General features: G+C 35.1%; 1 long non-coding RNA gene across 4 annotated transcripts in view; it reads left to right on the top strand.

Annotated features, from left to right (window-relative positions):
• LINC02476 (long intergenic non-protein coding RNA 2476) overlaps positions 1-24,721 on the top strand; it is a 287,946-nt gene that overhangs the window by 66,803 nt on the left and 196,422 nt on the right. Inside the window, exon 2 of one of the 4 annotated variants that reach the window (NR_131960.1) lies at positions 23,993-24,075. The exons of the other annotated variants lie outside the window; for them this stretch is intronic. This is a non-coding gene — a long non-coding RNA (long intergenic non-protein coding RNA 2476). The remainder of the gene's footprint in view (positions 1-23,992; positions 24,076-24,721) is intronic. 4 annotated transcript variants of the gene reach the window in all.

The following is a 24,721-nucleotide window of genomic DNA, read 5'->3' as shown; positions in this document are numbered from 1 at the left end:
GTTCTTTACTAAGGCATAACATACATGACCTTTGCTCCAGTTCCAAATAAGTTCCTCATTTCCATTCAAGGCAGTGTCAGCCTGATCTTCACTATCCATATCACTATCAGCATTTTGGTCATGGCCTAATACACCTACGATGAAGCATTATACTGTTATATACTTTTGTATTGTCATCTAGTATTATTTCATTTCAACTTTAGAAACTGCCTTTAGCATTTTACTCCAGTAGTGATGAACTCCATCAGCATTTCTTTATCTGGAAGAGACATTATTTTTTCTTCAGTTAGGAGAGTAGGTTTGCCAGATACAGTATTCTTGGAGTGTATTTAGTTTTTTTCTTTTTTCTTTTTCTTCAATACTTTATATATCAACCCATTCCCTTTTGGCCTGCAAGTTTTCTGCTGAGAAATTTGCTGATAGTCTTATGGATGCTCCCTTTTATGTGACAGATTGCTTTTCTCTTGCACCCTTCAAAATTTTCTCTTTGTGTTTAACTTTTATCAATTTGACTGTAATGTGTCTTGGTGTAGAATTCTTTGGATTTATTCCAGTTGAAGTCCTTTGGGCTTTCTGAATCTGAAGATTAAATTTCCTTCCTAGATTTGAGTTCACTTTGTCATTATTTCTTTAAATAATCTGCATCTCTCTTTCTTTTTCTCTTCTTCTTCTGGAAACTTCATGAGTCTTTTAGGGTTTCTTTACTTTTTTAAATTAAAATATTTTTATCTGAATAATTTCAAATGACTTGTTCTTAAGTTTGCTAATCCTTTGTTCTGCTTGCTCTAGTCTGCTGTTGAATGTCTCTAGAAAACATTTTAGTTAGTTCTTACATATTTATGCACCAAAATATCCCTTTGGTTCTTTTTATATATTTTCTATCTCTATGTTGATATGACATTTGGTTTATATATTTTATTGAATTCATTGAGCATCATTATGGTAATTTTGAATTTTTGTCATGTAATTTACATAATTCAATTATGTTCCTTTAATTGAGCCATGTTTCTCTGATTTTTCATGTGTTTTATAAGTTAGTGTTGAGATCTGCACATTTGAAAGAACAGCCACCTCTGCCAGTCTTTATAACCTGACTTTTTATGGGTATAGACCTTTATCAATCAGAAAAAGTAGCACTTCTGGGGGCCTCTCAAACCCTTTTTGTGAATGCATCTTCTCTGGACTTGGGTTTGTTCTTTTCTTTTTGCAGAAGATCATAATTGTTTTTTCCCTCTGGTGTCTGTGGTCACGGTTCTCCAGAGCTGCTGCAATCTATCCAGCCCTCTTTTGGTTTCAGAACCTCCCAGGCTTCTAGAGTATTATGGATCTCATTAATGCTCTGACTTACGTGTGACAGAAACCATTTCCTTGGGAAGCTCCCTGAAAAGCAACATGGTTGCATGCATACTCTGTGTCAGGCCTCTGAGCCCAAGCTAAGCCATCATATCCCCTGTGACCTGTGTGTATACATCTAGATGGCCTGAAGCAACTGAAGATCCACAGAAGAAGTGAAAATAGCCAGGTCCTGCCTTAACTGATGACCTTCCACCATTGTGATTTGTTCTTGCCCCACCCTAACTGACCAATTGACCTTTTGACAGTATACCCTCCCCGCCCTTGTGATAATGTACTTTGTGATATTCCCCTGCCCTTAAGAAGGTACTTTGTAATATTCTCCCCACCCTTGAGAATGTACTTTGTAAGATCACCCCCTGTCCATAAAAAATTGCTCCTAACTCCACCGCCTATCTCAAACCTATAAGAACTAATGATAATCCCACCACCGTTTGATGACTCTCTTTTTGGACTCAGCCCACCTGCACCCAGGTGATTAAAAACTTTATTGTTCACACAAAGCCTGTTTGGTGGTCTCTTTACACGGACGCGTGTGACACTCTACCCTTTTCTTTTCCTGATAAATGAGAGATTGCGAAACTGTATTGGTCTCTGTGTGCTATATGTCAGGTCCTCTAGAACAGCAGTAAGGTGCTCAGCTCTCTTTTGTTCTCAGAGGCCCTCAGATATATATAATATGCCAGATCCACTTAGTGCTTTAAGACAGGTGAAACAGAAACAAGTTTTCTGGTCATCCCCCCAAAACTGAAACATTTGATGGAGAGTTTAGCTCTTTTCCTTTCCAAGGAGAATCTGGGAGATAGGGGTTTTCTCCTACTCATTCCACCCTGAACAAAGGGTAGTGCATTAGGTGAGTTGGTACATGCTAGTCCAAATTTTCACATGTGTTTTCATTGGCCCCTAATCTGATGCACTTTTCTATTGGTCCTTGATTCAGGCAAGATGGGAACCAATTTCTCTGGCAGACTCTCAAAAACTTTGCATCTTAGATATACATTTCAGGCTTTTCTATCCTTCCTTAGGGAGAAGCTCGGAGTTGGGAGTGTTTTCACCAATCACACCTGGCTGAACCAGGGAGAGTGACTGTGACTATGGTGAAATTCATGAATTTTTCTATCAGCTTTTGTGCAGCTTGCTTTATGGTTCAGGAACTTATTTTTTTTTTCTTTTTTTCTTTTCTATTTTTTTTTGAGACAGAGTCTCACTCTGTCATCCAGGCTGGAGTGCAATGGCACAATCTCAGGTCACTGCAACCTCCACCTCTCAGGTTCAGGCCATTCTTCCTGACTCAGCCTCCTGAGTAGCTGGGATTACAGGCACCCACCACCACGCCTGGCTAATTTTTGTATTTTTAGAAGAGATGGTGTTTCACCTGTTCGCCAGGCTGGTCTCGAACTCTGGTTCAGGAACTTCTTAACAGTTTTCTGGATTTTTCACACAGGGTCTTTTTTTCATGTATTGTTGAATTGAAGTGTTTGTTTTGTTTTGTTTTGTTTTTTGTTTTTGTGGGGAAGAAGGGTCTGGAACTTCCTATTTTGCCATTTTGCTGAAAGTAATTTTGCCATTTTAGAAAGTAATTATATAAGCTTTAGATTATTTTTATATGAGTGAGACTCAACTATTGTACGATTTTTTTTTCTTTTGTGACATTTATTTATCTGCAATTTGAAACTAAGGAAAGTAGCAGCTGACCCTCAAAGCTCCCAAGCAGATAATTTAAGTCTTTTTTTGACATTAGTTATGAACATCAGAGAGATGGAGGCTGAAGCTTAATTAAGTTTCCATATACTCACAGACTAGATGGAGTTTTCTTTGGTAAAATAAAAATGAAAGAAAAATTCATCTGTGGACTGATTTCCCTGTGCTCTCTTTCACTGCTCATGTTCAAAAGTTCCAAGGGCTAATTTTAAGATGGAAAAAAATAGAAAAGGAAAGTAATAAATATAAATGAGAAGTCCTTCAAAATTATGAAACTATAGTCATCTCTCCTTATCTGTGGTTTATTCATCATTTGAAACAGAAATGTTTCAAATCTAAAACATTTGAAAAAATAAAATTAATACAAATTTTAAAAAATGATATGACAACTATATAACATTTACATTGTATTAGGTATTATGTCATCTAGATATGATTTAAAGAACAGGAGAGAATTTGCTTTGTTTATATGCAAAGAATACATCATTTTATATCAAGGACTTGAGCATCCATATATTTGGATATGCACTGGTGAGTAGGAGGGCTAGGGAGGGTCCTGAAATCAATTTCCCACAGATATTGAGGAATGACTGTACAGTGTACATTTTCAGTCTGAAAGCAGCAGGTATTTTATGAATGTATGAAGAATACCAGATTACCAGAACAAAATTACATGCTTTCCATACCACTCCAATTTTTTAATCTCATTTTTTATAATAATTTTTTTAAAAGTTTGACTAAGTTTTTTGTTTTACCTCAGCCTTCACACGATACCCAGCATAAATTTACCATTACTAATTTGAATTTCCTGTAATTAATAATAATACATAATACTGGAAATGGATTCATCTTAATAAGAAAGCTGAACTACATCTGAAATTTTTATTCATGTTTTATGATACACAGAACAAAATGACACTTTTGTACCTAGCCACTTCTAAGTAAATGGTTTATTGTCTACTACAAAAAATTGAGACCTTTCTTACCGTTGTATGTTCTCAAACTAAGAGGGAGGTTTGAAGTTGGTGGATGTTTGTTATTCCAAGCAGTATATTGTAGTTTGTAATTCTGTTGCCTTCTGAGGTATTTATGAACTATCCCCTACTTGTTATTTAAGGAACTGATTTTCAGTTAATGGTCCTTAGATTAGCTGAGGCAGATACTGAACCACTGAAAATGGACAGTTAGCAAAAATTGGAAACTCTTAGAATCTCAGATCTCACTCTGGGTAAAAAATCACAGATAATATGTACTAATAGAGACACCTGAAGGTCTCCCATAGCTCTATGCCCTTTCAAGGTAATACATAAATAAATGAGACTTTGTAATCATTCTACTGATTTAATAAAGCCAATTTATGTATTTTGGAAAAAAATGATTAAAGCACCTTTTAATAAAATAATGTCCCAATTGCACATGATAGTTTATTCACTACTTAAGCTATAGTAAACTACTATTAAACAATATAAAATATATGTATGTTTATGTTTATTGAGTGCACTTAGTTGACATTTAGCTTGTCACCTAGAGAATTCATTGACAGGCTGTTATATGTATTCAATATCATCACTTTCTTTTCTTGCAATAAGCGAAAATAAGAAATGAAATGTCCTCATTAATGTTTAAATATCCCATAAATAATTTAATTTACGCCTTAATAAGTAAATGCAAGTGGATAAGAAGCTAAATCAATGGCATTTTCTACAACTTAGTCTCTTTCTTTCTTTAAGCAAACTTGTGCCAAATTAAGTGAATTATACTAAGAAGCATTTTATTGCTCTATTTCCCTGTTTACTTGGATTTTGGAGGGTTTAAAAAAACTAACATTGAATTTTAGATACAAATAAGATTTTTGCAAAGGCTCCTAGATTGTGGTGCATGCTCATGTTCTTTATACTAAGTAATAGAGCATTTGATATAGGTAGATTCCAATCACCTAATTCAGGTGAGCCTAAGTCTAATCATGGCTTTTGGTCATCTCTTCATCTCAAGAACTGGATAGTTAGCAAATTACTAGCTGCTTCCTTCTGGTGTCACCTTATTAATAAGAGAAATTTAGTTATTCTCACCATATTTCCTCTATTGATGAGCCATTGCCTTTAATACATTTCAAACCATGTGGTACAATGTAAAAAATGAGTGGAGGCATCACTCATTTATAAATAAATTTATAAATAATTAACATACTGCCTAAACCATGGCTTAGGTAGCTCTATCTCTATGGAACATTAGGAATCAGTTGTAGAAGTCTACACATTTCAGTCATGATATATTCGAAATGCAGTCCTTTTAAATGATTGTCCTTTTTTAGCATATTTATTTTATAGGTTATGCAACACAAATTATTTTTCCAAGAAGTCTATGTGTCCTCAAAAATTCAAATGGTAGATGCTTTGAGATGTGCAATGTACTTTAAAATATTTCAACATAGGCAGTATGGTATTGTGTATTCATTCATTAGTTTAAATTTCACTTAGGATTCTTCAGTTTCCCTAATCAGAAATTTACATCTAAGATGTGGTTCATTAGCATTATAATTAGAAAGTCTCACTCTGTAAGTGACTTCCAGAAGTGCTTCATTTATCTTTATATCTGTTCAAGTTTAGCAACTTTTTTATTAGAACAATAGATATTAGAAGTGTGTGTGTGTGTGTTTCTAACATACAAATGATGTGGATTTTCTAACATATCATTGAGTCAATCTTTCTCCTTGCAAGAATGGCATTTAAAACTCTTGAACATCATGTAGCTTGTATTCTTAGGGATAACACATGGACCTTGTTTTTTAAAGGTCTTAGGTTATCTGCAATTGAAGGATCATGGTTATGGTTGAATGAAGCCAATAAGGTTAACTGAACCTGCCTCCACAATATGGAAACGTTTACCTGAAATAAATTTTTATTGAAAAATGTGATTTGAGCAGTTAAACTATAGGCAGCTAAAACTTTATTCAGATGATGAAATAATTTGAATAACTTTTTATGCTTGTTTTATTACCTAAGTTTAGATTTAAGTTAGAATTTAATCTGATATGACATGCTTTTATTTTACCTGGTTGCTAGATCTTTAGTTAGTAGCTGATTTTAACCAAAAATTAGCGACTCTATACTCTCATTTGCCAACAATGATCTGTTAATTATACATGAAATGATATAGGCTACTTTGTAACGATACGAGACTCTTGTATGCAATACTTAAAATATTAGATTGAACACTTTTGTGTTCCATCTTTCTATTGTATGTACTTGCTCCACAAAGTCTTAGGCAAAATTTTAAGGTCTAAAATTTTTCTAATATTTATTATATAATCAATGATATTTTCTTCCTCATGGGAAATAAATAAACAATGTATTACAAACTTTCCATGAAGAAAGTCACCAAGTTATTTTCTCCTTTTCTAGCAAGATAAAATTTGCATTATTGCAACAAATAATATGTAAAATATGTAATGTTTCTCTGAGAAATCTGCCAAGAAATTGTGCCACTTTACTGTATAATTTAGTCCATTCAGGTTCTGGAGACAAAAAGGACAAGATCAAAAGTGCAGGAAGAATCCATGTTTGGTGACTACCCATTCCTTATAGATCGCGCCTTTTCTCGCATGCTCACATGGTAGAAAAAGCAAGGCAACCCTCTGGGCCTCTTTTATAAAGTCACTAATCCCATTAATGAGGGCTTTGCCTTCATCACCTAATCACTCCCAAAGTCCCCACCTCCCAATACCACCATCTTTAGGGTTAGGTTTTCGACACATTAATTTTGAGGAAACATAAACATTCAGACTATAGAAATAATATTGCTATTATAAATGACCCATCCATTGTACTGTCAACTGAAGAATGATGAGGTTCACAAATTTGGAAAGGAGAGCTTTTTTCTCATAAAGGGTTGTAGCTTGCAAGGTGGCCATGCTGACAGACTGGGCAGCATAGCCTCTGGTCAGAAGCTGGAAGCAGACATTTCAAATGAGGAGCAAAGGGAACAGGCATTTATGCTGAGCAGGATGGCCAAATACACATATTCATTAAGCCACAGGAGGAGTCATGGATATTTATGAAAGGAGAAATGTGTGCATGTGCAATGGCACTTCATGCCCCTTCATGGGTCTCATGTTCAAAAAATGACAGTGTTAGCAGGATCTGACAGTGAAGTTTTCCACCTTCTGACATTAAAGTGTGAAGCAAAGGACGTGAAAACCCTTACTGTGCATTCTCTTTAGACTGGCCAGAAACATCCCGTGATTGGTGGTCTCCTATCAAGTAAAAATGAAGGGGCAGCATAAGATGGTTGGCTGATATCCGTGGTAGAGTCTTTTGAAAAAGCTGGTTTCTGTTTGACCCTTAGGGAAGAAAGGCCAATTGTGGTTAGCAGGGGGAGGCAGTATAAGGAGGTATGTCTTACACCCCTTCCAATCATGTCCAAGAATTTAGTTTTCAAGATTGCTCTGGCATCCCCATGGCCAAGAGATGGTCTGCTTACAATTTTATCTTTAGTTTACAGTACCTATCTCAAAGGATAAAATAACTTTGTGAAGTTATGAATAGATTTCAAACTAGACAATGTATCAGAAGAGTGGTATCTAAGGACTAAAACATGCTGCTTTTCAATTTCAAGCAGAACTCAGACATTTCCCCACGTTCCTAAAAAACCATTAATAATTTAAGATGGTAAGAAATTAAAATAAAATTCTGAGCCCTTAAGTGACTGAAGAGGGCCCCTCTTGGCCATGAGGACCACAGGGAACCCTTGGAATCTGAGTTCCATGGCCGCCACGAAATGCTGGACAAGCCTCATCATACCCACTCCCTGACTAACCCTATTAGATTTTCATCCGTAAGGGGCCAAATATAACCCAAACCTTTCAAAGACTCCACAATGTTAAAATTGATTACTAGCATATTGTCCCAGGTACAGAACACAGACAAGATGAAATTAATCATTCTTTCACCCTTTCCTGAGATGTCTGCTTCCTCTATTCTCTTTTTCTTCAGATATTCACCTTATTCTTTGTAAAATGTAGATTCGTTGGGTGCTAACTACAGTCTCACAAGTGTGTAATCATGCATTGCATTCTTCCCCCTTTTAAAGGAAAATGTATAAGTACTAAATCTCCTCGCACCTCCATGGAAAAAAAAAAATCCCTGTGTGCCACAGATGTGTCTGTGACTTGCGTTTTTTTAAGGCACACCCTCAAACTGTCTCAATAAACATTGATGATTTGAGACTCAAGCCTCAGTCACTCATTTTGGTTGTCAGTGGCAATACAGGTAATAGTTGAATGTTGGTAATATTTTTTATAAGTCTAAAATGGATGTTTTTAACTGACTAGTGAAATTATTTTTGATATTTTAAAAAATCTACATTCTTTCATATTTAAAGAAACAAAAGTAAGCCACTTTGAAAGGATCACCTAAGTATTTTTAATCTCATGCTATAAAATGTTCCAGTATAAAAAAACTGAGAATTCATATGGGGGTTAATTTAGTGTACTTTGTATTTTAAAAGTTTCTAATGGACAAATTATTTAGGTTGTTGCAAACAATGAGGAAAGAGGAAGCCCACGTTGGCTTTTTAGGATTTGGCTTTGTACGTAGGTAAAATCCTAAAATAAAGACAACAGATATATTCATACATTATAGAGCATTGATGATACTGTATTTTAAAATTAAGCATTACAGTAAAAATATAATACAGTTTAAGTAGCCATAATTTCTGTTACTTTTGGGCCTGGTAGCCAATGTACCAAATATTCACTTTGTCAGTAGGCTGGAGTCATCCCACACAATATGTAATTTATCATTCTTTCTCTCAGAAGGAATTCAGTTGTCAAGGCAAGACCAACGTCTTGGCCTACTGGTATTCTATAAACTTAATATTCATACTGATTTCAGATCCATTTAGTTCATGGAAACAATCCGTATTTCATTTATTGACTCATAACAGAGTAACACAATTTATAAATCCTTAGAATAACTACTCTAGAGAAAGAGAGAAGGACAGAGAGATGGACACACACACACACACACACACACACACACACACACACACACACATACACACAGAGAGAGAGAGATAGAGAGAGAGAGAGAGAACAAATTACCAGAAGCAGAAGGAGGGAAACATAAAAATACTAAAAGGATGAGGCGATAAAATGACAATATCATGCCAATATCACTGACATCTTGGATGAAATAAGAAAATTCTTTGGCAAAGCATCCTACAGAAATTGACAAAAGAAGAAAATAGATCTGAATAGCCTTATATCTGCTTAGGAAATTAAATCTTTTATAGGAAACCTTATCTTATAAAAACAGATATAATTGTTTCCACCAGAAGAAATAATAATAATCTGAAACAGAATTTTTCAGGAAATGCATGGCGATGAAAAAAGTTTTTAACTCATTTTATGATCCCTGAATAACTCCAATATCAAAACTTGTAGGGACATTACAAGAAAAAAACTTATCAAAAGCAATGCCACTCATAAGCACAAGCACAAAATTTCTTTTAAAAAGCACAGCAGATGTTGAAATAAATAAAGAGAGTAATAAATAATGATCAAGTGAATTTACCTAAGGAATGTTAAGATTTGACATTCACAAATCAAACTTTGTATTTCACACTAATAGATGAAAGAAGAAAACAATATGATGGTCAAAGTAGACTCATTAAAAGCATTTGACAAAATCCAAAGCCTACTCACAGTAAAAGTTTCAGCAAACTTGAAATAAAAGGAAATTTCCTCAGTATGATAATGACATATACAGTGTAATATTTTAAATGGTTTCTATTTAAGACCAGAATAAAAAGTACCTGTTCTCATCATTTTTATTCAACATTGTTATGGAGTGAATTATGTTACCCCACAAATGTATATGTTGAAGCCCTATTTCCCAATGTGACTATAATTGGGAAGTAATTAATGTTAAATGAGATCATAAGGGTGGAGCCCTAAGGCAATATGACTGCGGTCCTCATCAGAAAAGAGACACAAGATACGCATGTACCCAGAGGAGAAGACCATGTGAGGACAGAGTAAAAATACAAGTATCTGTAAGCCAAAGAATGAGAGTCCTCAGGAGAAATCAAACCTGCTGGCAACTTATCTTGGAATGCCAGCCCCTAGAACGGTGAGAAAATCAGTTTCTGTTGTTTAAACAACCCAGTTAACCATTTTTTGTTATGGCAGTCCTAGCAGACTAATATAAGACATATATTATATCAAAGATTTTAGCCAGTGAAATAAAATAATAAATAAATCACAAACATTTTGGAATAGGAGACATATAACAGTTTTTACTTGCAGGACGTATAATCCAGTATTTAGACAATCTTAGGATATCTCAAAAAAATAAATAAAATAATAAATTTTTGTAAATCTTGAGATTCAGTACAAGCAAAAAAAAATTGCAAAATTAAGTACATATAAATAGAAGATGCATCAAAAGCATGAAAAGGAATAGGATCAAATGTAATAAAAGAGCTATAAAACTGCACCGCAAACCACAAAACAGTGTGGAAATAAGCAATACTAAAGTAAATAAATAAGCACTCTGTTCATGGATAGAACAACTAAAAATTAAGTTGTTAATTCTGCCCTAAATAAAAAATCCAATAATTGTAGAAATTGGGTAGGCTGATACTAAAATTTACTTGGGAATACAAATAACACAAATAAGCCACACCGGGTTTAAAAGGAGAGAATAAATGGGGCAAGGTTAATACATTTTTCTATTAAAAAAACTTACTATAGAGCTACTGAAATCAAGATATTAGAGATAAGAGCAGAAAACTAGATCAATGGAATAGAACACAAAGTCCAGGAAAAAGAAAAATAGGTGCAGTTAGATGATATTTGACTAAGACTTTAAAGCAATTCAGTAAAGAATAGTATTTTAACTGGTGATAATGGGCAAGTACACACACACACACACACACACACACACACACACACACACGTGGGGGAATGACCATCTCCAGCTGACAGTATACACAAACCTTAATTTGAGCTAGACAATACACTTAAAAGTTAAAAAAATTTTTCTAGAAAAAAACATAAGAGAATGGGTTTGTGGTCTTGCGGGTAGACATAATTTTTAGAGACAAAAAAGTTGACAAATTGAAATCAATTATTTTAAAACACACAACTTCTGCCCTTCATAAAAATTAGTTAAGAAAATTAAAGCACAAATGACAAACTGGGAATTGGCAGTTTCTTATAAAGGTAAACATGCACCTAACCTAAGACCTAGCAATTTACTGTTCAGTATTAATTAACTCAAGAGAAATAAAAATATGTATCTATGAAATGACTCATAAAATAATGTTTATAGTATATTTATTCATGATATCTACAACTGGGAACCACGTTAAGGTATATACTCACAGAAGAATAAATAAATTTGATAAATTCACTTGTTGGAATATTTCTCAGAAATGATAATGAATGAATAAATGCTATACAATTTGGCTAAATCATAAAAATGTAATGTTGAGCAATAAATTCAGAAATGAAATATAACATTCTCTATGTTTTCATTTATGTGCGTTTCAAGAATAGGCAAAACTAATCTCTGGTGATAAAAAAGTATCAGCACAGTGGTTATCTATTGGGTATAGAAGATGACTTCAAAAGAGAGAAATAGCTTTCTTTGTTCATGGAAATAGTCTATAGATTGATAAAGGAACTGGTTATATGGAGATATTTGCCAAAATTATCTACTTGAGTATTTAAGATTATGCATTTCACTAACATAAATTTTATATCAGTTAAAAAATAAAACAAGACTTTGGATTTGATCTATGTGCTTGAAAATTTGTCCTCTAGATATCTGGAGTCTAGAAGAGTTTACTGATTCTGATATTTCTTGCAACTTCCAAGGATACTCTAGCTAAATATTTACTGCATAATTTCCTAGGCATACCATAAGAAAATACTGTATATTGGGTGGCTTAAACAAGAGAAATATGTTTTCTCACAGTTCTTGAGGCTGGAAGCCTAAGATCAAGGTGTCAGAAGTTTTAGTTTCTCCCAAGTGCCCCCTCCATGGCTGCCTTCTCATTGCATCCTCACAGGGTCTGTTCTTTGTGTATACATCACTGGGATCTTCTTCAGCCTGTAAGTTCACCAAATATATGGTATTAGTAATAATTAAAGCCATACCACCCTTATGATCTTTTTGTTGAAAAAAAAAAAAAGCTTTGTTGAGATTCGATTCAGAAACCACACAATTCATCCACTTAAAACATACAATTAAATGGCTTTTATTTTGTTCACAGAGTTGTGCAACCGTCACCACAGTCGCTTTTAGAACATTTTCACCATCTTAAAAAAAACCCTGTATCCTCACACCATCACCCCCTACATCCTCCTACCCTCATCCTATCCCTCAGCAACCACTAATATACTTTCTATCACCATAGATTTGCCTATTCAGGACAATTCTTATGAGTAGAGTTATATAATTTGTGGCCTTTTGTGATAGGCATCATTCCCTTAGCATAATGTTTTCAAACTTGTAGCATATGTCAGTACTTTGATTCCTTTTAATGGCTGCATAGTATTCTACCATATGGATATATCACATTTTGTTCATTTATCACTTCTTAGATATTATGGTTATTTTAACATTTTGGTTCTTGTGAATAATGCTACAAGGTTTTTATGACGAATACTGCAAAAGCAACTGCAACAAAAACAAAAATTGGCAAGTGGGACCTAACTAAACTAAAGAACTTCTACACAGCAAAGGTAACCTTACTAAACTAAAGAATTTCTGCACAGCCAAGGTAACTATCAATAGAGTAAACAGACAATCTACAGAATGGGAGAAAATATTTGTAAACTACACATCTGACAAAAGTCTAAAATCCAGAATCTATAAGGAACTTAAATCAACAAGCAAAAAACCAACAATCCCACTAAAAATGGGAAGAAGATACGGACACATCTCAAAAGAAGACATACACATGGTCAATAAGCACATGAAAAAAATGCTCACCATCACTAATCATTAAGAAAATGTAAATCAAAACCACAATGAGATACCATCTCACACAGTCAGAATGGCTCTGAAAAAAAAGTCAAAAAATAACAGAAACTGACAATGTTTTGGAGAAAGGGGAACAGTTAGACACTGATGGTGGGAATTTAAATTAGTTCAGGCACTGTGGAAAGTAGTTTGGAGATTTCTCAAAGAACTTAAAATAGGACTACCATTCAACTCAGCCATTCCATTACTGAATATATATACCCAAAGGAATATAAATAGTTGTACTATAAAGACACATGCACACATATGTTCATTACAGCACTGTTCACCACAGCAAAGACATGGAAGAGTGTAAGAAGGTCATTGCTGTGCTAAAATAATTCATCTTTCAGAATACAACAGAGAAACTGATTAGTAGCACATAGCCTGAGATTCTTATTATTTTGATCTCCCTCTACATTTAATATGTCTTTTGGAAGAGTTATTTGTTGCTTTGTTGGTGCTGTTGTACAAAACAATAATCTGGCTGGAATTAGGCTCATATTGTGAAGAATATAATCATTGTAAGAAGAGGGTAAGAGTGAATTACTTTATGTGTTAAATCATAGAGGATTTTTGAACCTCTTGAATTTTGAACTTCAGTTTCTTAGGAATATTAATATTAGATTAATAAAAATATCAAGTATACCATAATAGAATAAAGTTTATATGCAAATTTCAAGTATTTCTACATTTCTAAAAATTGAAATATCAAAATATGTACATTTATTTCCATTGCGTAATCTCTGATGAGAACAATGCATAACATTGGTTGTAGGTTACACTATGGTCCTTTGGAGAGTAAAGTCAAAACTGCCTACCAGTGGTCTATGGAGTGTCTATGAAAGACTGGCAGCTGATTGTGAGTAGTCCCATGAAGGAAGGACACAGGGTCAATTCTAAATTGTAATATTTAAGAGATCAAAAACCTATGAAATATTCAGGAGGATGCTTATTATACCCTCTTATTTTCTTAAGGGGGGATTTTTTTCATGAATACTCTTGGTATCCTCCCCTTCCTTCTTATGTTTCTACTGGGGATTAGATGAGTCATGTAGTTGGTAGCTGTCTTAGTCTATTAGTATGGCTATAACAAAATACCTGAGACTAAATAATTTATAAGTAATATATATTTATTTCTTATAGTTCTAGAGGCTAGGAAGTCTAAAATAAGGCACTGAGAGTCTGGATGCCTGCTGAGGGTCTCTTCTAATCTCACAGATTAGGTGGCTCCTCTTCTGTTTCAGCACATGGTAGAACTAAGTTGTTCTCTTCTTTGATACCTCCCTAACACCTGGCACATGTTGGGTATATATTATAGAAAATTAATAAATATTTATTTGACTGACTTGTATTCAATTTGATTTAATTACTCAACTTCAATAATCATTGAAATAATGAATTTCTTTTAGGATTTTATTTAAATTAATTGTGTTATTTTAAACTAGGCATTTTTAAAATGTCCTTTTATTTATAAAATTTTTTTTCCTTTGAAACATATTTAAAATGTTTAAAAAACTGTCAGCAAGTACGTTTCATGTAAGTGCTGCACACTAACCAATTGCGCTACTGGAGCTCCAGTAAGTACATTTAAAATATTCAGTTGTTTTACTTTTTAATGGAATGGAGCACATTCTTATGGGTAAAGACAAGAGAAACACAATTTTATTTTTCTCATATTAGTTTGTTTGCATGCACAGATGGAGCTAATGAAAATGGTCTTTATTTCCCATTTGTATTTGTTATCTCCATAAATTGATGGACTACATAATAATTGGGCTATAAAATTGTTTCCATTCATTATAGGAGAATTGGGTAGAAGATATTTCAGGTTGCAGAGCACGGTACACAATATTTCTGTAAGGCTTTCTTTTCTGTTTTTAAGCTCTCTTCTATTTTTTTTTTCTTTCTAAGCTGTTCCAGGGCTCAGAAGCTAAGGCTAGTGCTATGTTCAGTCTGTTTTTTATACAAAGAATTGGAAAGTGAACAAAGAGTCAGAAACACTCTCCCCCACCTCTTCTCTGCATATAATATCATATAATTTCTGTTTAGGATGCCAGTGCTGCTTATGAATATAAACCAACCAATTAAAACAGATGGGAATCAGAAGTCCAAGTAAATCCTTTTATGTAGATGCCTAGAACGTAGATCCTACATTTAATAGAACAAACAAACCCAGTTTTCTTTCTATTCCTTTTGTTTGCCCCTCCACAGCTACAGTTTGTGAGTTTACACTTCAAATAAAAAACAATCAGACTGAAAATATAACTATGCCTTTTCAGCTTGCTTCCAATGTGAGATGAATACTAATATTTCACTCCCTTCAAACAGTGTGAAAAATTGGCCACTGAAAACACTGCGTATGTTAGTGGTGCTCTCACTGGGTCCACTGCTTCATTCATCCTTACTTTTCTTTAAATTGAATTTCAGCTCACAAAACAAAACACAAAAGCAAAAGAAAAAAATAGTGAAAATAATGAAAAGTGTAGAGAACAGTCAGTCAGCTTCCTTACATTCTACCAGAAAATATCAGAAATCAGATTGATTTTTTTTTTTGCAGTTATGCATTTGTCAGGAAATTTAAAAAATCAATTTGTGTTTTTTTGCAACCTAGAATGTCTTCTTGATTAAAAGAAAGTGTGTAAGAATTAGTTTCATTTCTCAGAATTGTGTTGGAGAAATAAATAAATGAAATTGATTTCATTTCCCAGAATTGTGTTTTGAAAGTGCTGAGGAAGTAAAAGTATCCTAGGTCAATGCTTAAATAAAATTTCAGTTTATTGAAAGATATAGGTGAATATTTTGATGTTATATGATTATATGACCTGTTGCTACACACTTTTGACCACTTCTGTGTTCTGAAAGCACTGTCTTCTATTGTCTATACTTCTACTAAATTCACTGGGTTTTTCTAACATTTCACTGGCTTCTACTTCTGCATGAACCTTGCAGACTTCATGTGCTTGGTGCATCCTTGATAGATGTTGGTGTTCCTTTTCAAATATTCTCACTCTCCAGGCATCTGAAACTATATTGGCTTCACTTACAATATATGTCTGATGGCTTTCACATTTATTTCTAGTAACTAGATAGATATGCCTCATATACATCCAACTGTTATTGGACATCTCCTCTTGAATACATCGCATCAACTTCATCCAAACCCGACTTACCAACTTGCTTCTCCTGTATACCTTCTCATTGAAAGTATTAAATAAAACTGATGGAGCCCGGGTCACCATCATTTATTCTCCCATATTTCTCCCTCTTCCTCATTCCTTAAAATCAATAAACAGAAACTACTGATCCTATATTCTAATTATTTTTCTCAAGTTGCTTTACTTTTCACAATACCCCCTACTTAGAATTTTATAGCTAATAGCCTCCTAACTGGTCCCACCACATAGAGTGGTATTTGTAATGTGTAAAACTGTGTTACTCCTAATCTTAAAATTGTCTGTTTTTCCATTGCTGAGCTAAGCTTTAAACATTCCACTGGCCCTTGTTACATCTCCAGATCCTTTTATCAGTCATTTAATAGTACACTCTGTATTCCTACCAAATTAAAATGTTTACTTGCTTCTTCTTTCTTGAAGCTTTATCATGTGTGACATTAAAGTCAACTTTTATCCATTTTCTATGTATTATTTATATCTCAAATTAGAAACTGCCACCTCCAAAATATTCTTCATGATCACTCCCATGTATCCGGATTGGTTGGCTCCCACAGACAACTCTATTTCTCTATCACATCACTTACCACATTTAAAGTAAATAACTATTTGCCTATCTGTCTTCCTGACATACTGGAATTTTTATTGCATAAGTAACTGATCTATCCTTACTGTTGTGCCTACATTAAATGGATAATTTTAAAATTTGTTCAACATGTGATATTCCAGGAGGAGGTTAATAAATATTTTATTAGTTAACATTAACTGAAAGGACACACTTTTCCCTATGTCCTTTGGACTTGACAGTAGGGTTCGGAAAGCACTGGGAATCTTCATATTGCCCTCCAGAGGCACAGAGAGAAGAGGCAAATGTTTAGATATATTTGGCTGCATGATGCCTAACCTTGCTGAAGAACACTCTACTATCTCCTAAGCATAGTAAGAATGACGCAGAGCTGCCAGATCCAGAAGAACCATGCAGCCCGGGGGTGAGAGTTTTATTGGTAACCAGTCAGGAATTATAAAGTGAGAGTTTGTCCCTAATGTTTGATTATTAGTTAGATGCTTGAGTAACTGAGGTTTATTGATCACCATTCTGTAATGGTATTGGAATGAGGGTGGGTGACACTGGAATTTTGTGGACTGTGATTCAAAATTGCCAAACATCTAAAAAAAGCCCAATTATTTCTGACTGTGCATACTGTTTATTAAAACATATTTTTTAAAGCTTAATATTTCCAGGTATGCTAGGTGCTGAAGAGCTGAAAAGACACAGTTCCTCTCTAAAGTAATGAAAAATATAGCAGAGGAGACAAACATATAAACAAATAATCATAATATAACAACCTAAGTACAATAATATGTGCAATTTATGGCAATGGAAGAAATCAACTCTGCTTGATTACTAGAGTAATATTTGTAAAGAAGAAAATGGCTTTGAATTTTGATAAATAAGGAGGAAATTGCAAAAAATAAAACATGAGAGATGGCATCCTGGGCAAAGGGTATATATACATATAGTTTAAAACAGCATACTATTTTTAGGGAATGATAAAGGGTCCTTATTTCCTATTTTCTTGACTCAAATAAACAGCATTCTCTGTGTTCATTCACATTTTGTTTATTGTTTTCTTGTTGTTTTGCAAGTCTTTAGTTCATTTTTCCTTTCTTGCTGTCTTGCTGTGTGATTTGATAATTTTTGTAGTGGTATGCTCTATTTTTTTTCCCTTTACCTAAGTAAAGTAAATACTTTAGTAGTGTATCTACTACTAAGTTTTTGCTTCATGGTTACCATGAGGCATACGTAAAAACCTCTTATAGTTATATCAGGTTAGCTGATAACTTGGTAAGTTTGAGCATATTTAAAAAACTAGATTACTTTACCCCCAATTATTATATGTTTTGTGTGTCATCCTTTATATCTTTTTATATTGTATATCTTTTAATAAATTATTATAGCTATAGTTATTTATAATCCTTCATCTATTAACTTTTATACTAGAGATATACGTGATTTCCCTTTATAGTGTTAGAGTATTCTGATTTCAGTTATATACTTTTACCAGTGAGTTTCATACTTTCTTATGTTTTTCAAGTTACTAATTAATATCCTTCATTTCAGGTGAAAGGACTCCCTTCAGTATTTCTTGTAAGACGGGTCTAGTGGTGAAGGATTCCCTCCGTTTTGTTTGAGTTTGACAGTTTTTATTTCGCCTTCATTTATGAAGAATATTTTTGCCAAGTATGGTATTACTTTTTGGCATAATTTTTTCCTTGGCACTTTGAATATATCATCTCACTGGCTCCTGGTCTGCAAATTTTCTGACAAGAAATCTGCTAAAAACCTTACTGGGACCAGGTGTGGTGGTCAGGCCTGAAATCTCAGCATTTTGGGAGGCTGAGGTGGGCAGATCACTTGAGGCCAGGAGTTTGAGACCAGCCCAGCCAACATAGTGAAACCCTGTCTCTAGTAAAAGTACACATATTAGCTGGGTGTGGAGATGCACCCCTGTAGTTCTAGCTACTCAGGAGGCTGAGGCAAGAGAATTGCTTAAAGCCAGGAGGCGGAGGTTGCAATGAGCCAAGATCATGCCACTGCACTCCAGACTGGGTGACAGAGAGAGATTCTGTTTCAAACAAATAAACAAAAAACAACCCCCCAAAAAAACCTTATTGGGGTTTCCTTGCATGTGAGGATTTTTTTTTTCTCCTGCTGCTTTCAAGGTTCTCTCTTTGTCTTTCATTTTTGTCCATTTGATTATAACACACCTTGGGGTAATCTTTGGGTTGAATCAGATTGGAGACCTTTGAGTTCTTTATACCTGGTTGTTTATATTTTTCCCAAAATTTGGGAAATTTTCAACCATTATTTCTTTAAGTAAGCTTTCTATTTCATTATCTTTCTCTTTTCCTTGTTTAGTACTTATAATGTTAATGTTAGCTCTCTTGCTATTCTCCTGTAAATCCCATAGGCTTTCTTCATTCATTTTCATTGTTTTTTTTAATTTTTTCTCTGACCTCGTATTTTCAAATAACCTATTCTGGAGTTCAAAGATAATTTCTTCTATTTGAACATTTCTACTGTTAATGTGCTCGACTGGATTTTTTATTTCATTTCTTGTATTATTCAGCTCCAGAATTTCTGCTTGGTTCTTTTATATAACTTTACTCTCTCAGTTAAAATTCTCATTTTGTTTGCTTATTATTTTTCTGATACCATTACATTTTCTCTCTATGTTTTCCTAAGTTCATTGAGCTTTATTTAAACAATTATTTTAAATTAGTTGTCAGGAAATTTATAGATCCATTTTTAGGGATCAGTTACTGGGAAATTATTGTGGTCTTTTTGTGGTGATGTTTCCTTTTATTTAAAAATATTTCTTATTGCATTTCATTAATGTCTGCTCATTTGATAAAGTAGTCATTTCTTCTAGACTTTCCAAGCTGTCTTTATTGGGAGAAGACCTCCCCTAATGAGTGAGTGTGAGGACACCCACTGGGTTGGTTGTGATGGTTCTGGCTATACACTTAAACTTGTAAAATATTGATGAAAAAAATTGAAGGAGAAAAATATGTGGAAAAATACTTTGCATTCATGAATTGGAAGAATTATAATTGTTAAAATATCCATACTACACAAATTGGTACAGACTAAATGCAATCCTTCTCAACATCCCAATGGCATTTTTCATAGAAATAGAAAAATAATTATAAAATATGTAGCCAACCACCAAACACTCTAACTAGCCAAAGTAATATTGAGTAAAAAAATAAAACTGGAGACATCACACTACCTCATCTCCAGATATACTGCAAAGCTATAGTCATAAAACAGCATGGGACTAGCATAAAAACAGACATATCTACCAGTTGAACAGGATAGAGAAGCCAGAAATAAATCCAGCATGTACGGTCAATTGATGTTTGAAAAAATTGCCAATACACACAATGGGGAAAGGATAGTCTCTTCAGTAAATGGTGTTGTGAAAACTAGATATTCACATGCAGAAGCATAATATTGGACCCATATCTCACATTATATATAAAAATCAACTCAAAATGAATAAAGACTTAAGCATAAGATGTAATACTCTAAAAGTACTAGAAGAAAAATAAAAAAAAAAAGCATCCTTACTGGGTGCTAATACACCCTTGCTGGGTGTATTAGTTCATTTTCACACTGCTGATAAAGACATACCTGAGCCTGTAATCCCAGCACTTTGGGAGGCCGAGGCGGGTGGATCATGAGGTCAGGAGATCGAGACCATCCTGGCTAACAAGGTGAAACCCCGTCTCTACTAAAAAAAATACAAAAAAAATTAGCCGGGCGCGGTGGCGGGCGCCTGTAGTCCCAGCTACTCGGGAGGCTGAGGCAGGAGAATGGCGTGAACCCGGGAAGCGGAGCTTGCAGTGAGCCGAGATTGCGCCACTGCAGTCCGCAGTCTGGCCTGGGCGACAGAGCGAGACTCCGTCTCAAAAAAAAAAAAAAAAAAAAAAAAAAAAAAAAAGACATACCTGAGACAAAGAAATTTACAAAAGAAAGAGGTTTAATAGACTCACAGTTCACATGGCTGGGGAATCCTCACAATCATGGCTAAAGGTGAAAGGCATGTCTCACATGGTGGAAGACAAGATAAGATAATGAGAGCCAAATAAAGGGTTTCTCCTTATAAAACCATCAAATCTCGTGAGACTTACTCACTACTACACAAACAGTATGGGGAAAACCATCCCCATGATTCCATCATTTCACACTGGGTCCCTCCGACAACATGAAAGAAGTATGGGAGCTACAATTCAAGGTGAGATTTGGGTGAGGACACAGCCAAACCATATCATTCTATACCTGGCCCCATCCAAATCTCATGTCCTCACATTCAAAACCAATCATGCCTTCCCAACGGTCCCCCAAAGTCTTAAGTTATTTCAGCATTAACTCAAAAATCCATAGTCCAAAGTCTTATCTGGGACAAGGCAAGTCCCTTCCACCTATGAGCCTGTAAAATCAAAAGCAAGTTAGTTACTTCCTAGATACAATGGGGGTACAGGCATTGGGTAAATATAGTCATTCCAAATAGGAGAAATTGGCCAAAACAAAGGGGCCTATAGCCCCTTTGAAATCCAGTGGAGGAGTCAAATATTAAAGCTTCAAAATGATCTCCTTTGATTCCATGGCTCACATCCAGGTCACACTGATGCAAGAGGTGGGTTCCCATGGTCTTGTGCAGCTCCACTCCTGTGATTTTGCAGGGTACAGCCTCCCCCATGGCTGCTGTCACAAGATGGTGTTGAATGTCTGGCTTTTCCAGGTGCACGGTGCAAGCTGTCTGTGGACGTATCATTCTGGGATCTGGAGGATGGTGGCCCTCTTCACAGCTCCACTGGGCAGCACCCCAGTGGGGACTCTGTGTGGGGCTTCAACCCCACACTTCCCTTCAGCACTGCCCTAGCAGACGTTCTCCGTGAGGGCCCTATCTCTGTATCAAACTTCTGCCTGGACGTCCAGGAATTTGTATACATGGTCTGAAATCTAGGCAGAGGTTCCCAAATGCCAATTCTTGACTTCTTTGCACTCAAAGACTCAACAGCATGTGGAAGCTGCCAATGCTTGGGGCTTGAACCCTCTGAAGCCACAGCCCAAGCTTTACATTGGCCCCCTTCAGCCCCAGCTGTAGCAGCTGGAAACAGGGCACCATATCTCTAGGCATTACACAGCAGGGGGACCCTGTACCCAGCCCACAAAACCATTTCTTTTTCCTAGGCCTCCAGGCCTTTGATGCGGGGGCCTGCCATGAAGACCTCTGACATGCCCTGGAGATATTTTTCTTACTGTCTTAGTGGTTAACATTTGTCTCCTCATTACTTACACAAATTTCTGCAGCTGGCTCAAATTTCTCCTCAGAAAATGGATTTTTCTTTTCTATAACATCATCAGGCTGCAAATTTTCTGAACTTCTGTGGATCATCTCCTTCAAGTTCAGAGTTCCACAAGTCTCTAGGGCAGGGGCAAAATTATGTCAGTCTCTTTGTTAAAACATAACAAGAGTTACCTTTGCTCAAGTTCCCAAAAAGTTCCTTATTTCCATCTGAGACCATCTCAGCCTGGATTTCATTGTCCAATCATTATCAGCATTCCATTCAAAGCCATTCAATAAGACTCTAGGAGGTTCTTAAGTTTCACTCATTTTCCTGTTTTCTTCTGAGCCCTTCAAACTGTTCCAACCTCCACCTGTTACCCAGTTGTAAAGTTGCTTTCACATTTTCGAGCCTCTTTTCAGCAGTGCCCCACTCTTCTGATACCAATGAACTTTATTAGTCTGTTTTCACATTGCTGATAAAGACATACCGGAGATTAGGCAACTTACAAAAGAAAGACGTTTAATGGACTCACAGTCCCACATGGTTGGGGAGGCCTTACAATCATGGCTAAAGGTGAAAGGCACTTCTCACATGGCGGCAGACAAGAGAAGAAAATGGGAGTCCAGCAATAGGGCTTTCCCCTTATAAAACCATCAGCTCTCATGAGACATTGACTACCACAAGAACAGTATGGTGGAAACTGCCCCCATGATTCAATCATCTCCCACTGGGTTCCTCCCACAATACATGGGAATTATGGGAGCTACAATTCAAGATGAGATTTGGGTGGGGATACAGCCAAACCATATCACTGGGAAAAGATTTCTTTGAACGTAACTGCTATAACACAGACAACAATTGTAAAAATAGACAAATGAGATTAGATCAACCAAAGTGCTTTTACACAGCAAAAGGAACTGGCATTAGTGTGAAAAAGCAACCTAATGTATGGAAAAAATATTTGCAAACAATTTGTTGGAAAAATGGTTAATAGTTAAAATACATTTAAAAATTCGACAGCTTACAACTCAATAGCAAAGACAAGATAATAACCCATCTTTAATCAACATTTTTTAAAAAATACAACATAAAAATGACTACCAGATTCATGAGAAAATCTAAAAATCATGGATCATCAGAAAAGTGTAACTCAAAACTAAATTAGATGTTTTATCACACCAGTTAGAATGTTCATTATAAAAATAAAATAACAAGTGCTGGTGAGGATGGGGAGAAAAAGGAACACTCATACATTGCATGTGTGAATGTAAATGAGTGCACTCATTATGAAAAAACAGTAAATAAATTTCTCAAAAAAATAAAATGGAATTACAATAGATCTCCACTCTTTCAGGTTTTTGCTTCCCTTGTCTCAGTTATCCCCAGTCAACCTCAGTTTTAAAATATTCAATATACAATTCCTGAAACAATTCATAAATTTTAAATTCAATGTTTTTCTGAGTAATGTAAGAAACTCTCATGCTGTCCCACTCTGTCCCTCCCAGAACATTAGTTATCCCTTTGTTTAGCATATGCATGCCGTATGTGCTATGTGCAATTAGTCACCTAGTAGCCATCTTGATTATCAGATCAACTGATGTGTTTTGCAGTGCTTGTGTTTAAGTGACCAGTATTTTACTTTAACAGCTGCAAAGCACAAAAGTAGTGATGCTGATAATTCAGTTATGCCAAAGAGAAGCCATAAAGTGCTCTCTTTAGTGAAAAAGTGAAAGTTCTCTACTTAATAAGGAAAAAATAAACATTCTGAGGTTGATGAGATATATGGTAAGACTGAATCTTCTGTGAAATTATGAAGAAGGAAAAAATAAATTTGTGCGTAGTATATATAGGGTTTAATACTATCTGCGGTTTCAGGCATCCACTGAAGGTCTTGGAATGTATACCTGATGGATAAGGAGGAACTACTATTGCATGTGATTCAACAATTCTACTTCTGAGTATGTATCTAGAGGAATCAAAATCAATATGCCAAAGAAATAGCTGCACCCCCAGGTTCATGGCAGCATTATTCATATTAAATTAAATTAAATTTGTCCTAAACCTTCCTTTATACACAGCAAACTGCAACCTAACAAAGTATGTTTTTGTAACAGATAGCTAAGTCATAGCCAATCACAGGCTGCCAATTGGTCACATAATGACCAAATAAGACAAATGTTGAGCTGTAACCAATCAAGTTGTTTTTGTATGTTACTTCCTTTTTCTGCCTATAAATGCTGCCTACTCACATTGCTGGGTATAGCTGTCTGAACCTCTCCTGTTTCTGAGTGTTGCCCTATTCATGAATCATTTTTTGTTGAAACAAACTCTACTAATTTTAATTTGTCTGGAGTTTTTCTTCTAACATTTACAATAGCCAAGATATGGAATCAATATAAGTGCCCATCAGTGGATGAATGGATGTGGAATATTTGGTGTGTGTGTGTGTTTGTGTGTGTGTGTGTGTGTGTGTGTGTGTGTGTGAGATGGAATACTATTCAGCCTTAAAGAAGAGGGAAATCCTGTCACTTGTAAAAAACATGATTAAACCTGGAGGACATTATTGTAAGTGAAATAAGCCAGGCACACAAAGATAAGTTCTGC

The sequence above is a fragment of the Homo sapiens genome, chromosome 7 (assembly GCF_000001405.40).
Source record: "Homo sapiens chromosome 7, GRCh38.p14 Primary Assembly".
Lineage (NCBI taxonomy): Eukaryota > Metazoa > Chordata > Mammalia > Primates > Hominidae > Homo > Homo sapiens.
This window is presented reverse-complemented; position numbering and strand designations above follow the sequence as displayed.